The 15,689-nt window shown below is 44.2% G+C and overlaps 2 protein-coding genes across 6 annotated transcripts in view; one reads left to right on the top strand and one right to left on the bottom strand.

Moving 5' to 3' along the window:
* Positions 1–15,689, top strand: part of TMEM50B (transmembrane protein 50B) — a 47,489-nt gene that overhangs the window by 28,151 nt on the left and 3,649 nt on the right. For 2 of the 4 annotated variants that reach the window (XM_047440989.1, NM_006134.7), the window contains one exon: positions 961–2,683. In XM_047440989.1, the coding sequence (XP_047296945.1) occupies positions 961–968 (8 nt within the window). In that variant the 3' untranslated portion in view covers positions 969–2,683. Of the gene's footprint in view, positions 1–960; positions 3,043–12,526; positions 12,611–14,831; positions 14,942–15,689 lie in introns of those variants that run through there. The other 2 variants (XM_011529746.3, NR_040016.2) reach the window with 2 other exon arrangements.
* IFNGR2 (interferon gamma receptor 2) overlaps positions 14,308–15,689 on the bottom strand; it is a 34,635-nt gene continuing 33,253 nt past the window's right edge. For both annotated transcript variants that reach the window (NM_001329128.2, NM_005534.4), the window contains one exon: positions 14,308–14,996. In NM_001329128.2, coding sequence (NP_001316057.1) covers positions 14,862–14,996 — 135 coding nt within the window. In that variant the 3' untranslated portion in view covers positions 14,308–14,861. The remainder of the gene's footprint in view (positions 14,997–15,689) is intronic.

Here is a 15,689-nt window from a genome sequence, read left to right as displayed (position 1 = left end):
CTTGTTATTTTTCTGTCCCTGGGTGAACTCATGTGTACTTAGGACTCCAATTATTGCTTATATGCCAGTGAGTCACAGATGTCCCTTTCCAGGCCTAAACCGTATATCCAGATTCCTACTTCACATCCCTTCTTGGGTTGCTGACATTTCAAATCCAAAACATTTAGTATGCCCACAGCTCAACTCATGGCCCTGGAGTGTCCCATCTCTCTGCTCCCGCCTCCTTATCCTCTCTCACTTTGCCGAGATAATTCCCCCTCTTCTTTTGGATCTCAATTCAGTCACCACTCCTCAGGAAAACCTTTCCTGACCTCTCTAACTAGGTCTGATCCTTATGTTTCACTCTGAGGATACTGTGCACCTCTCATTTATAGCATTTTTTTATAGGTGGAATTTTATATTTATTTGATTGTCTCCTTATTAGACCCTTAGCTCCATTAGGGAGCAAGTTTGTCTGGACTCAGTCTCACCCCAGCACTTAGGTGCTTGGTACGTAGCCACTTTTCAGTGCACAATAATTATTTGTTGAAGGAATGAAGAATTGCAGCATGGTCTGTTGTAGGGTGCTTCAGTTACTGTAATTTAGATATGGTAGGCTCCTGGAGACATAAAATGGCCCTAATGCCTGTCACTATGAGAATGGTCTCTCTCCCTTTTTCTTTTGATTTATTGATTCATTTTTTTGTTTCTGAGTCATAGAGAAATGTCTCTTTTCCTTACAAGTTGCCTGTTAATAACTTCCCAGGCCTTAAGAAAGAATACAGTTATGCTTAGCCATCGTAGTTAACAGACTGCTTTACAAAATAAGCAAATTAAGACCAACACTGCCATGATGTCTAATTTAATTTTTAAAATTGATAGGAATCAGTGAAGTACCTGTCAAAGCATATTGAGAAAATGAATTCTGTGTTGCTTGTTCCATCGGTTTTTTCCTCATGATTTGTTTTCCTATCTTTCTAGCACTCTGATCTACAAATTTGGAAGAACCGAAGAGCTATGGACCTGAGATCACTTCTTAAGTCACATTTTCCTTTTGTTATATTCTGTTTGTAGATAGGTTTTTTATCTCTCAGTACACATTGCCAAATGGAGTAGATTGTACATTAAATGTTTTGTTTCTTTACATTTTTATGTTCTGAGTTTTGAAATAGTTTTATGAAATTTCTTTATTTTTCATTGCATAGACTGTTAATATGTATATAATACAAGACTATATGAATTGGATAATGAGTATCAGTTTTTTATTCCTGAGATTTAGAACTTGATCTACTCCCTGAGCCAGGGTTACATCATCTTGTCATTTTAGAAGTAACCACTCTTGTCTCTCTGGCTGGGCACGGTGGCTCATGCCTGTAATCCCAGCACTTTGGGAGGCCGAGGCGGGCCGATTGCTTGAGGTCAAGTGTTTGAGACCAGCCTGGCCAACATGGCGAAACCCCATCTACTAAAAATACAAAAATTAGCCAGGCATGGTGGTGGGTGCCTGTAATCCCAACTACCTAGGAGGCTGAGGCAGGAGAATCGCTTGAACCCGGGGGGCAGAGGTTGTAGTGAGCTGAGTTTGCGCCACTGCACTCTAGCCTGGGGGAGAAAGTGAAACTCCCTCTCAAAAAAAAGAAGGACCACTCTCAGTATCTGATTTCTGAAGATGTACAAAAAAATATAGCTTCATATATCTAGAATGAGCACTGAGCCATAAAAGGTTTTCAGCAAGTTGTAACTTATTTTGGCCTAAAAATGAGGTTTTTTTGGTAAAGAAAAAATATTTGTTCTTATGTATTGAAGAAGTGTACTTTTATATAATGATTTTTTAAATGCCCAAAGGACTAGTTTGAAAGCTTCTTTTAAAAAGAATTCCTCTAATATGACTTTATGTGAGAAGGGATAATACATGATCAAATAAACTCAGTTTTTTATGGTTACTGTAAAAAGACTGTGTAAGGCAGCTCAGCACCATGCTTCTCGTAAAAGCAGCTTCAAATATCCACTGGGGTTATCTTTTGACAACTTGCCATTATCTGATGTTACACAATTCAATAGCAAGCAAGTTTGAGACAATCGCAGTTTAAAAGCATGAACCATTTAACAAAAAGTGGAATAATTAAAGATAAAGCACTTCTTCCCAAAGGGAATTATCACCTAGTGAAAAATTATGCATTTCATCTACTCAGTTACCGACTGCAAGTCTCTCCTCGCTCTAGCTCTCAAGCTTTGGGTGAATATTCCTGTGAAATATATCTTCAACTTGAAAGTTCATACTCCAATCAAAAACTCCTTTTACTGAGTTTGCAGTACTGTATTTGCACTGTTTGTATTCCTCTGGGCCCTTATTGCTACTTTTGCTTTCCTTTGTTACACAGATTTTGTGTTGCACTTTTTCTCCAGAGGGGTGTTGTAGAGCCTTGGTTGTATGAATAATACCAGTGGTAGTGTCCACGGCTCTAATGTAAGCCCATTTGGCATCACTCCTCTCCTCTCTCTTGAGAGGATTTCTTGTGCACAGAGTATGAAGCAGTTGTGGAGCGCTGTGCCTTTGTCAAGATACCATCTTGTTTGATGACTTCTTTCTTTGCTGTTTTTTCTTCAAAATGTTAGTAAGCTCTGTCATGCTTCTAGCAAATTGTAAGACTAATTATTTGTTTCCACCTCATAACCTGTTGCAATAAATATTACTTCTCATACAGTTTAATATTGTTGTTTGTTGGAGAAAATGAACCATAAAAATTGATTTGCTGTTCAGTTTTCAATTATTCAAGTATACCCAATTAAAGATGCAGTTATGTTTATAAAATAAGAAGAAATAGACTTGTAAAATGCTTATGTGAGGGTTATTGAAGGTTTCCCTGAAGACTGACTGGAAATGGTGGCTGTTTTTTTCTATTTCTGACTCTGCCATGAATTTTTTTTTTTTTTTTTAAAGACAATATCTCACTCTGTTGCCTAGGCTGGAGTGCAGTGGTGCAACCACAGCTCACTGCACCTTCAAATGCTGGAGCTCAGGCAATCCTCTTACCTCCGCTTTCCAAGCAGCTGGGACCACAGGTACGTGTCATTATGTCTGGTTAATTAAAAAAAAATGTTTTGGGAGGCCTAGGTGGGCGGATCACGAGGTCAGGAGATCGAGACCATCCTGGCTAACATGGTGAAACCCTGTCTGTACTAAAAATACAAAAAAATTAGCCGGGCGTGGTGGGGGTCACCTGTAGTCCCAGCTACTTGGGAGGCTGAGGCAAGAGAATGGCGTGAACCTTGGAGGCAGAGCTTGCAGTGAGCCAAAATCGTGCCACTGCACTCCAGTCTGGGCAACAGAGCAAGACTCCATGTCATTAAAAAAAAAAGTTGTTTTTTGTAGAGACGGGGGTCTCACTATGCTGTTCTGGGTGAACTGGTCTCAACACATCCACCTGCCTCAACCTCACAAAGTGCTAGGTTGACAGGCATGAGCCACCACACCCAACCCTGAATTTGTTTTTTAGTTGTGAGCAAATCACTTAATTTTCTGTTTCTTCATTTTAAAAAAAGAGATAATGTGGTCAGGCGTGGGGGCTCACGCCTGTAATCCCAGCACTTTGGGAGGCCGAGGCGGGCAGATCATGAGGTCAGGAGTTCGAGACCAGCCTGGCCAACATACTGAAACCCGGTCTGTACTAAAAATACAACAAATTAGCCAGGCGTGGTGGTGCACCCCTGTAATCCCAGCTACTCGGGAGGCTGAGGCAGGGAGAATTGCTTGAACCCGGGAGGCAGAGGTTGCAGTGAGCCAAGATCGTGCAACTGCACTCCAGCTTGGGTGACAAAGCGAGACTCCGTCTAGAAAATAAAAAATAAATAAAAACATAAAAGAGATAATGTTAGTATCCACTCTTAGAAATATTATGAGTTAGGGCAGAATCTTTGGTAATCATCTACAAATGCATGTGATTCCCTTACTAAGGTTCTCAAGCTGTCACATAGATTCAGTGGTCATTGAATCTGAGTGTTTTTTGTGTGTGGACCAATATTATCAGAGTATTCCATTTTATTGCTCTAAGATCCTTGTATTCCTTGTGCTGTTGCCACTGAGTAAAAACCCAGAGGCTGTATTTTTCCAGTATATATATATATGTGTGTGTGTGTGTGTGTGTGTGTGTGTGTGTGTGTGTATTTCTATACACAAGACGTTGACTTGACATTGATTTGCATCAACATAATGAAATTGGAAGACTGAAAGATTGATGATATCAAACCATATAATTTGGCCCCTTGAGCAAGAGCCCCCAGAGGGTTTGACATGGGTGCATTGAACTCATGATCTCTACATTTTTCCCCAGTGGAAGGGTTTTCAGTCACAACATCAACTCAGGAGTCTTTGTTTTCATTGTTCTTTTTTATGGAGTCCTTTTTACAGTGTCTTACTCTTGCCCAGGCTGGAACGCCGTGGTGTGATTATAGCTCACTACTGCCTTGAACTCCTTGGCTCAAGCAGTCCTCCCCTCAGTCTACTATAGGTGTGCACCACCACACTCAGCTCTCCTTTTTAGATTTAGTTGCACCTTTCCCAAGTTGCTTTTAGAACACTGGTGGCCCTGAAGGTGTACCTGAGAAAAGGTGTGTGTGTCAAAGAAGCTTGGGAAACCCTGGGCTGAACTAGGTCTAAACATGTTTTTTCTTTCTTTATTTCTTGATTTTTTTTTTTTTTTTCAGATGGAGTTTTGCTCTTGTCACCCAGGCTGGAGTGTAGTGGTGCAATCTCAGCTCACTGCAACCTCTGTCTCCCAGGTTCAAATGGTTCTCGTGCCTCAGCCTCCCGAGTAGCTGGGGTTACAGGTGGGTACCATCCTACCCGGCTAATTTTTGTATTTTTAGTAGAGACATGGTTTCACCATATTGGCCAAGCTGGTCTCAAATTCCTGACCCCAGGTGATCCACCCGCCTCGGCCTCCCAAAGTGTTGGGATTACAGGCGTGAGCACTGCGCCCCGCCTTCTTGCTTAGTCTTTTTTAGAGAGGGGTCTTGCTATGTTGCCCAGGCTGGTCTTGAATTCCTGAGCTCAAGTGATCCTCCTGCCTCAGCCTCCTGAGTAGCTGGGACTAGAGGTGCAAATCACCACACTAGGCTCCAAAACACCTTTTTAAAATTCTGTAAAGTTCTTTTCTTTCTTAGAGGTTTTTTTTTTTTTTTTTTTTTTTGTGTGTGTGTGTGTGTGTGTATTGTATGTCTTTAGGAGGAGGGTGTCAATTATATGGTGTTTTCTATTACTGAGACTTGGAAATTTATCTCCTGGAACATGTTGAAAAATGTAATTTGGGGCCAGGCACAGCGGCTCTCGCCTGTACTCCCAGTACTTTGGGAGTCCGAGGCGGGCAGATTACTTGAGGTCAGGAGTTCGAGATCAGCCTGGCCAACATAGTGAAACCCATCTCTACTAAAAATACAAAAAATTAGCCAAGTATGGTGGTACATGCCTGTAATCCCAGCTACTTGGGATGCTGAGGCAGGAGAATTGCTTGAGCCCAGGAGGCAGAGGCTGCAGTGAGCTCAGATCAAGCCACTGTACTCCAGTGTGGGCAACAGAGCAAGACTGTCTCAAAAAAAAATAAAAAATAAAAAATAAAAAAAATAAAAGAAAAATGTAATTTGGGGAAAGTGCTGCTATGGTGGCTTTAGAATAGATAGAACACAGGGAATTAACAAAAGGAGAGGAAAATGTTTAGGTGTGGGCATGGCTGGCTTTGGGAAAAGCCTGTGGCCAGCCTGATTATGGGGAATAAAAATGGTGGCAGGAGGGCACAGTAGGAAGAATTCTTCCAATTGCGTTGTTACTAGACAGTTGTGGTTTGGGCGCTGGGATTCTCGGAGGCCTATGGATTTAAGTTTAGGTTGGTTTACTTCTCCCTTATTCCCTTATTCTGGCACTGCCATTTATTAGCTATTTGACTGCAAGACTGTTTCCCTGTCTGTAAGTATGTTTGAGAATTAATCTGAGGAAATGCTTAACAAAGTTCCTGGAAATAATAAGTGATTCACACAAGTAGGCTTTTTTTTTCCTTTTTTTTTTGAGACAGAGTCTCACTCTGTCATCCAGGCTGGAGTGCAGTGGCTCACTGCAGCCTCAGCCTCCTGGGTTCAAGCCATTCTCGTGCCTTGGCCTCCCAAGTAACTGGGATTGTAGGCACATGCCACCACGCCTGGCTAATTGTTTTTGTATTTTTAGTAGAGATGGGGTTTTGCCATGTTGGCCAGGCTGGTCTCGAACTTCTAACCTCAAGCGATCCGCCAGCCTTGGCCTCCCAAAGTGCAGGGAATTACAGGCGCCGTGCCCGGCATTTCTTATGATGACTTTTGAAGGGATGTTTCCTTTCTCATCTGATGACTTTTTAGCTTTTTGCCACAAGGTGGCATGCCATGCTAAGAAAAACAAGACTTCCAAGTTTAGAGCCTGCCAGAGCATTTTTTTGTAGCACTTTTATCACAGCTTAAGTAATTTTACTTAGGGTTTTGGATAGCAGTAAATGCCTCTTCAATTCTTTCAGCTGTGGCAGATAGGATATTTTAAATTTCTTTGAGTAAGTATGGCAGGACAGGCTGCCTAGACCCTCATGGATTATGCCAGTGTAGAGAGTGCTGGGTCTTTGATTTGGGGAGCATGTTGACCTCTTCCCCACCCCAGAGGTCTAGACATAAAACCAGAGAGCTCTCCAAAAAGGATGTAAATTGTGCTCTTTTCCAGCAGCAGTTTCTGGTTTTTTTTTTTTTTTTTTGAGACTGGGTCTCACTCTGTCACCCTCCACCTCCCAGGCTCAAGCGATCCTCCCACCTCAGCCTTCCAAGTAGCTCAGGTGCATGCCACTACATCCTGGCTAATTGTTAATGTTTTGTAGAGATGGGGTTTCACCATGTTACCCAGGCTGGTCTCGAACTCCTGGGCTCAAAGGATCTGCCTACCTCAGCCTCCTAAAGTGCTGGGATTACAGGTATGAACCACTGCACCCAGCCAGCAGTTTCTTTTGTTTCTTTTTCTTTCTTTTTTTTTTTTTTTTTGTAAAGAGATGGAGTCTCACTATTTTACCCAGGCTGGAGTACAGTGGCTTTCACAGGCATGAACATTGCACACTTCGACCTGGAACTCTTGAGCTCAAGTGACCCTCCAGCCTCAGCCTCCCGAGTAGCTGGGACTATAGTACAGGTCTGTGCTCCAACAGTTTCTACTCCTGGTGCCAAAAACATTATTCAGTGTGATCAGTGTACTTCCCTCCCACCATGGAAGTTGTGAGTTTAGAAATTAACCTTTTTTTTTTTTGAGACAGGGTCTGGCTCTGTCACCCAGGCTGGAGTGCAGTGGTGTGAGCTCGGCTCACTGCAACCTCTGCCTCCTAGGCTCAAGAGATCCTCTCTCCTCAGTCTCCTGAGTAGCTTGGACTACAGACGCACGCCACCATGCCTGGCTAATTGTATTTTTTGTAGAGACACGGTTTCACCATGTTGCCCAGATTGGTCTGGAGCTCCTGAGCTCAAGCGGTCTGCTCACCTCAACTTCCCAAAGTGCTAGGATTACAGGCGTGAGCCACTGCGCCCAGCCTGAGATTAACTTTTTATGTTGAAATTACATCAGACTTACCAGGAGAGTTATAAAAATAGCACAAAGAGGCCAGGCATGGTGCTCACGCCTATATCTCAGTGCTTTGGGAGGCCAAGGTGGGCGGATCACCGGAGGTCAGGAGTTCAAGACCAGCTTGGCCAACATGGTGAAATCCCATCTCTACTAAAAATACAAAAATTAGCCAGGCGTAGTGGCAGGTGCCTATAATCCCAGCTACTTGGGAGGCTGAGGCAGGAGAATCGCTTGAACCCAGGAGGCGGAAGTTGCAGTGAGCCAAGACCCCGCCATTGCACTCCAGCCTGGGCGACAGAGCGAAACTCTGTAAAAAAACAAACAAACAAACAAAAAAAAACCACAAAGAATTCCTGTATAACCTTTCAGATTCCCAGAAGTTAACATTTTACTACATTTGCTTTGGTCTGTTATTTTAAATGTTTGGCAGCATGCTGCAGATGTGACGCCTGTTTACTTACCCTTGAATCCTGTGTATATTTCCCCCCAAACATCACTGCGATACGATGCCAAAGTCAGAAAATTAACATTGATACAGTACTTTGTGCCTTATTCAAATTCTTCAGATTACCCCTGTAATGTACTTTATAGTAAAGAAAAATACTATTTTTCTGTGGCAGGATCCTGCCCATGGTCACACGTTGCATTTAGTCGTCATATCCCTGCAGTGTCTCTAATATTTGGAATGGTTCTTCAGTCTTTGTCTTCTGTGACTAGGCATTTGGAACTTGAGTGGCTTACGTATCAGGACTACTAGCAGTTGCTGTGTGCCTTTGTGTTCTGTTTAGGTCAACAGCACCTGTGGGGTTGTGCGGTGCACAGCCTACAGGAATGTACCCACAGCCCCGACTACTGGTGCTCCACTATTTTAGTAGTTAGCATGGGGCTGGCCACTTGAGAAGTGTCTGGATCTGGAGGACACTTGAAGGTACTCACAGTTGTATTAAGGGTCACAGGAAAATTTCAGAAAGTAAATAGTCAAGAAACACATTAGTTTGATTGATTAATTGAATTTTATGCCAGGCAAAATTTTGTACCTGCCCATCTCCAAGGACCTCAGGGTCCTCCTACCTGGACTTACCAGCTCTTTAAGGGTTTGACCCTCTCTTAGGCTTTTCAGATACAAAAATACTCTTATTACCCACAGAGAATAGATCAGATATTTTTATTCACCTGAATGTAGAAATGAAACGAGTTGAATTAATATTTACAGTTATTATACATTGTTACTCATACCACTATTTAATTTCAAGGAAAATCATTAATATCATATGTTGTGCTTTTTGTTTTGATTTGTTTTGTTTTTTTTTTTGAGACAGAGTCTCTCTCTGTTAGCCCAGGCTGGAGTGCAGTGGCACGATCTTGCTCACTGCAACCTCCGCCTCCCAGGTTCAAGCGATTCTCATGCCTTAACCTACTGAGTAGCTGGAACTACAGGCATGCACCATCATGCCTGGCTAATTTTTGTATTTTTAGTAGAGACGGGGTTTCTCCATGTTGGCCAGGCTGGTGTCGAACTCCTGACCTCAAGTGATCTGCCTGCCTCTGCCTCCCAAAGTGCTGGGATTACAGGCATGAGCCAGCGCGCCTGGCCACATATCATTTGATGTTTATGTTGTAGCTAGGTATATGGATGTAAAGTAACCCTGAGGGTCTGCCTCCCTCCTCTTTTTTTGATAACTGAGGGGCCCAGAGAAGCTAGTGCTGCCTGTATTTCTACAATGGGATGAATTTTTAGGCTATCATTTTTTAGGAATGTCTAGGTGTCATTCCTAGAGCATTGGCAAGTTGCCCTGACCAGAGTCCTCTCCTTAGCAACGGGTGGCTCTGAGGCCCCAGGTCCCAAGTAACCACTCTGACCAGTTTCCATACCCTCTCAAGCGTAGCCAGCTGTTTTCCCTCACCACAGACTGGAAACAAGGAGAAAGACGTCACTTTCACTTCATTCCCGTGGGACAGTCCTTGAGTCTCAAGGGAGGCTGGGAGTGGCAGTGAAGGGTGGGGAGGCATGACTGCATCTCCGGAAGCTGCTGGGGTGGAGTCTCACTTCTCATCAAACAGAAGGACAGCTGGGGATGTTCTCATCTCAAATAGAGACTATTTGGCAAACAGCAAATATATTTTGAAGGGCTCTGGGCGCCTCAGAGATGTGACTGCATAGTGTGGAAGTTGTCAGAATCAAAATGGAGTCACTTGTGCTTCAAACAAACAAGCAAACAAATAAAAAACCCTGACAAATAGAGCTGGGGAAGGCCATGAAGGATTCTCATGCAAAAATGCTTGATAACAAAAATGATCACAAGGCCGGGCGTGGTGGCTCATGCCTGTAATCCCAGCATTTTAGAAGGTTGAGGCAGGTGGATCACTTGAGGTCAGGAGTTCAAGACCAGCCTGGGCAACATGGCAAAATCCCATCTCTACTAAAAATACAAAAAATTAGCCAGGCATGGTGGCGGATGCCTGTAGTCCCAGCTACTAAGGAGGCTGAGACAGGAGAATTTCTTGAATCCAGGAGGCAGACGTTGCAGTGAGCTGTGATTGCATCACTGCCCTCCAGCTTGGGTGACAGAGCAAGACTCTGTCTCTAAATAAATAAATAAATAAAAATGATCACAAAAGACTGCAAAAATCTCAACCTTGCACAAAGCCCTTCACCGCCTTACACAACAAACACTTCTATGAGGACATCTGCCCAACAACTGCCTGTCTAACCTTGGAATGGCATCCCCCTTGCTATTGATCCTTATAGCCAAGGATAATTATCTTAAAACAGTGATCTAATCCTCATTTTTTCCTTTAAGAACCTTTGTTTTCCTTCACCTTCCTAAATATGTACATAGTTTACTCTGGCACACGTGTTCCCCTTGTAATACCCTATTCCCAAATCAGTATCATTTCCTTTCAGAGAGCCTCTCTCTGTTGTGGCACTTCAAAGACATAGTGGCCATAGTGACTATGCAGGCTTCTTTAAATGTTATGTACCAAGAAGTCCTTTTTTTTTTTGAGACAGATTCTTGCTCTGTTGCCCAGGTTGAGGTGCAGTGGTGTCATCTGGGCTCACTGCAACTTCCACCTTGTGGGTTCAACCGATTCTCCTGCCTCAGCCTCCTGAATAGCTGTGATTACAGGCACCTGCCACTGCGCTGGGCTGATTTTTGTATTTTTAGTAGAGACAGGGTGTCACCTTGTTGGCCAGACTGATCTTGAACTCCTGACCTCAGGCGATCCGCTCACCTGAGCCTCCCAAAATGCTGGGATTACAGGTGTGAGCCGCCGTGCCCTGCCAGAAGTCCATTTTATGTGATTTAAACACTATGGACAGAGACGTTATTTTATTTTATTATTATTTTTTGAGACAGAGTCTTGCTCTGTCGCCCAGGTGGAGTGCAGTGGTGCAATCTTGGCTCACTGCAACCTCTGCCTCCCAGGTTCAAGTGATTCTCCTGCCTCAGCCTCCTGAGTAGCTGGGATTACAGGCACACATCACCACGCCCAGCTAATCTTTGTATTTTTAGTAGGGACGGGGTTTCACCATGTTGGTCAGGCTGGTCTCAAACTCCTGACCTCATGATCCCTCCTGCCTCAGCCTCCCAAAGTTCTGGGATTACAAGCGTGAGCCCCCGCACCCGGCCTATTTTATTATTATTTTTGAGACAGAGTCTCGCTCTGTCACCAGGCATGCAGTGGCACGATCTCTGCTCACTGCAACCTCTGCATCCCAGGTTCAAGCAATTCCCTTCGCTCAGCCTCCTGAGTAGCTGGGATTACAGGCATGCACCACCATGCCCAGCTAATTTTTGTATTTTTAGTAGAGACGGTGTTTCACCATGTTGGTCAGGCTGGTCTCAAACTCCTGGCCTCAAATGATCCGCCCACCTCAGCCTCCCAAAGTGCTGGGATTACAGGTGTGAACCACTACACGCAGCTTACCTTCTGGGTTCTAATAAATATTTATGAACAGTGAAATTTGAATATCATAGAATTTTCATGTGTGATGAAATATTCTTCTTTTGACTTTAACTATTCCAAGATGTAAAAGCTATTCTTAGCACACGGGTTTTACAAAAACAGGGAATGGGCTGATTTGGCAAGTAGGTTATGGATTATGCCCTGTCAACGGATTATTTATAAGAGTGCTTCCAACTCAAAAATTTTGACAATGTACTTAGCTTGACTTTATTTTTCTTGAGACAGAGTCTTGCTCTGTTGCCCAGGCTGGAGTGCAGAGGTGCCATGTCAGCTCACTGCAACCTCCGCTTCTCGGGCTCAAGTGATTCTCCTGCCTCAGCTTCCCAAGTAGCTGGGATTACAGGTGTGAGCCACCACGCCCAGCTAATTTTTGTATTTTTAATAGAAACAGGTTTTCGCCATGTTGACCAGGCTTGTCTCAAACTCCTGACCTCATGATCCACCCACCTCAGGGTCTCAAAGTGCTCGGATTACAGGTGTGAGCCACTGCGCCTGGCCTTGACAGTGTAAATACTAATCCCATCAATTAGTCATTTATTTTACTAAGGAGAATGAGGCATTTCATTTCAGAAAATACTATTTAAGGCTGGGCACAGTGGCTCACACCTGTAATCCCAGCACTTTGGGAGGCTGAGGTGAGCGGATCACCTGAGGTCAGGAGTTTGAGACCAGCCTGACCAACATAGTGAAACCCCATCTCTACTAAAAATACAAAAATTAGCTGGGTGTGGTGGCGCACATCTGTAATCCCAGCTACTCTGGAGGCTGAGGCACAAAAATCGCTTGAACCCGGAAGGCAGAGGTTGCAGTGAAGTGAGATTGTGCCACTGCGCTCCAGCCTGGGCAACAGGGTGAGACTGTGTCTCTAAATAAATAAATGGGGTGGCACAGATGCACTTACCCTAACAGAGTTGATTTGCCCTCTGTCCTGCTGGGCTGAAACTCTTTCCTGTTCTCCTGCTATAGATGTATCCTCCACTCCTCGCTGGCCACCATCCTGCTGCCCAACAGAAGAAGCTCTTCTGTCTCCGATTTCCTGAACGGTCTAAGGTAAGTCTTTACAACTCCTATCTACAACTTCTTCCTCCAAACTTGTCTACTTAAGGTGCACCTAATGCATACAACAGATGCTTCACAGGGAGACTTGTGTGCATGGGGTGGGAGTGGGCCTTGTTTTTCTAACTCTTGCCACTGCAGACAGCATGGTACACAACACTTAAGAGAGTTAGCCACTTTTGCCGGACACGGTGGCTCACGCCTGTGATCTCAACCCTTTGGGAGACCAAGGTGGGTGGATCATGAGGTCAGGAGTTCGAGACCAGCCTGGCCAACATGGTGAAACCCCATCTCTACTAAAAATACAAAAATTAGCCAGGCATAGTGGTGCACGCCTGTAATCCCAGCTATTCGGGAGGCTGAGGCAGGAGAATTGCTTGAACCTGGGAGGTGGAGGTTGCAGCGAGCTGAGATCGCGCCACTGCGCTCCAGCCTGGGCGACAGAGTGAGACTCTGTCTCAAAAGAAAAAAAAAAAGCCACTTTCTTACCAGCAGTACAGGGCCCCAACTGCCTCCCATGTAGCTGGGATTATAGGTGCCTGCCACCACACTCAGCTAATTTTTGTGCTTTTAGTGGAGACAGGCTTTCACCATGTTGGCCAGGCTGGTCTCGAACTCCTGACCTCAGGTGATCTGCCTGCCTCGGCCTCCCAAAGTGCTGGGATTACAGGTGTGAGCCACCGTGCCCAGCCTATAAATGGATTTTAAATACATATCCTTTGAACAACAGAGCCCGACAGTACTGACACAATCAGATGACTTGCGTGCTCAGTAGATAACATTACTATTGATTAATCAGTTAATTCTCTTTATTGCCCACAAATCCCTGCCTTGGTCAACACAGTGTGACTTGTCACATATAAATGAAGTGCTAATGTGCCTTCTGCAAATCCCCCTTATAACTTTTATATTTTTGAGACAGGGTCTCTTGCTCTGTTGCCAAGGCTGGAATGTAGTGGTGTAATCATTGCTCACTGCAGCCTTGAACTCCTAACTCCTAGGCTCAAATGATCCTCTGGTCTCAGCCTCCTGAGTAGCTGGGACTACGGGTGTGCACCACCACGACTAGCTAATTTTTTATTTTTTGTGAAAACAAGGTCTCACTATGTTGCCCAGGCTGTTCTCAAACTCCTGGCCTCAAGCGATCCTCCCATCTTGACCTCCCAAAGTGCTGGGATTACAGGCATGAGCCACCATGCCCAGCCCTCTTTTTTTTTTTTTTTTTGAGATAGGGTCTCGCTCTGCCTCCCACGCTGGAGTGCAGTGGCATCATTTCGGCTCATGGTAACCTCCGCCTCCCAGGCTAAAGCATCCTCCCACTTTAGCCTCTCAAGTAGCTGGGACTACAGGTGCATGTCATCATGCCTGGATAATTTTTGCATTTTTCATAGAGACAGGGTTTCACCATGTTGCCCAGGTGGGTCTAGAACTCCTGGCCTCAAGTGATCCACCCACCTCAGCCTCCCAAAGTGCTGGGATTATAGGCGTGGGCCACTGCACTAGGCCCTGGCCTTCTTTATAACCTTTGGAGGATCAAGTGACATCCATAGGAAGTGTTTGCTGAGTTCCCATGAGGCCTCAGTAGCTCTAGCAGGTGTTATTTAAGAAAAAACAAGTTTAGATTGAGTAATTTTAGAAAGCTGAAACTCTGCAGAAAATAGGCTACAATAAAGAAAACACTTCACATAGACTTTAAAAAACATGCACTATACAATCTTTTATTTCCAGTTTAAAAACAAAATCTTAAATTACTAGGAGTATATTTACAAGATTAATTACATTTTAAGCCAGCACACCATGGATGTACATGAAGGGCCACTCGGTGTCCCTCGCTGGGACAGGTTGTGTGACCTGCCCAAGGGGCTCCGGCTCATTTGCCAAAGTCAAGACGACGACCAGGTCTTCTGACTGCTCAGCCCAACCAATAATGAAAAAAGTATCAGAGATGTGTCATATCCATTTTGCTAACAAGCAATTACATGCCTTTTTAGTGTTTAAGAGAAGCCTTAATTTTCCTGGGATATCTCCGTAAAATCATTCTGGAATTTGATTTTGAAAATTCTTTAAGAAAAAAAAAAAAAGCTTGTCACCCCCATGAGACCTGCTGTCTCTCATGTCTGCAGGGACAGGCCTTTTAGAGGCAGCAAAAGGGAATACTGGTCTCTGGAAAGTCCAGACAGAACTCTAGCAGCTCCGATGGCTTGATCTCTTCCAGGGAGCCAGTGGGCTAGGCCCATGCTTTGGTTCAAAGCGTTTGGAGAACATCTTCTTGCTCCTTTTCCGGAAACGAGATAATGGACACAGAGTCCCAGACGTCATCCTTTGGTGAGCTGTCCTTGTCCAAGGCCTCTAAGATGGGCTGAGTTGGGTCTTTTAAATACTTGAGGAGGTTGGAAAGCAAAATTGTAATTAGTTTACCAGTTCAGTATACCAGACCTTTTAACTTTAGTTTTTGTTTTTATTTTATTTTTATTTTTATTTTTTTTTTGAGATGGAGTCTTACTCTTGCCTAGGCTGGAGTATAGTGGTGTGATCTCAGCTCACTGCAACCTCTGCTTCCCAGGTTCAAGCGATTCTCCTGCCTCAATCCTCCAAGTAGCTGGGACTACAGGTGCCCACCACCTTGCCTGGCTAATTTTGTATTTTTAGTAGAGACAGGGTTTCACTATGTTGGCCACGCTGGTCTCAAACTCCTGATCGCAAATGATCCACCCACCTTGGCCTCCCAAAGTGCTGGGATTATAGGCGTGAGCCACTACGCCTGGCCTACTTTAGTTTTAATTGGTATAGTTATTTTATTCAGATATAAGTTGATTCTGTCCACCAATGACATAACTTATTTTTCTTTTTATTCAACAATGAAACAATTTTTTTTTTTTGAGACGGAGTTTCACGTTGTTGCCCAGGCTGGAGTGCAATGACACGATCTCATCTCACTGCAACCTCTGCCTCAGCCTCCCAAGTAGCTGGGATTACAGGCATGCACCACCACACCCTGCTAATTTTGTATTTTAAGTAGAGACGGGGTTTCCCATGTTGGTCAGGCTGTCTCGAACTCCTGACCTCAGGTGAT

The sequence above is a fragment of the Homo sapiens genome, chromosome 21, assembly GCF_000001405.40.
Source record: "Homo sapiens chromosome 21, GRCh38.p14 Primary Assembly".
NCBI classification, from domain to species: Eukaryota; Metazoa; Chordata; class Mammalia; order Primates; family Hominidae; genus Homo; species Homo sapiens.
This window is presented reverse-complemented; position numbering and strand designations above follow the sequence as displayed.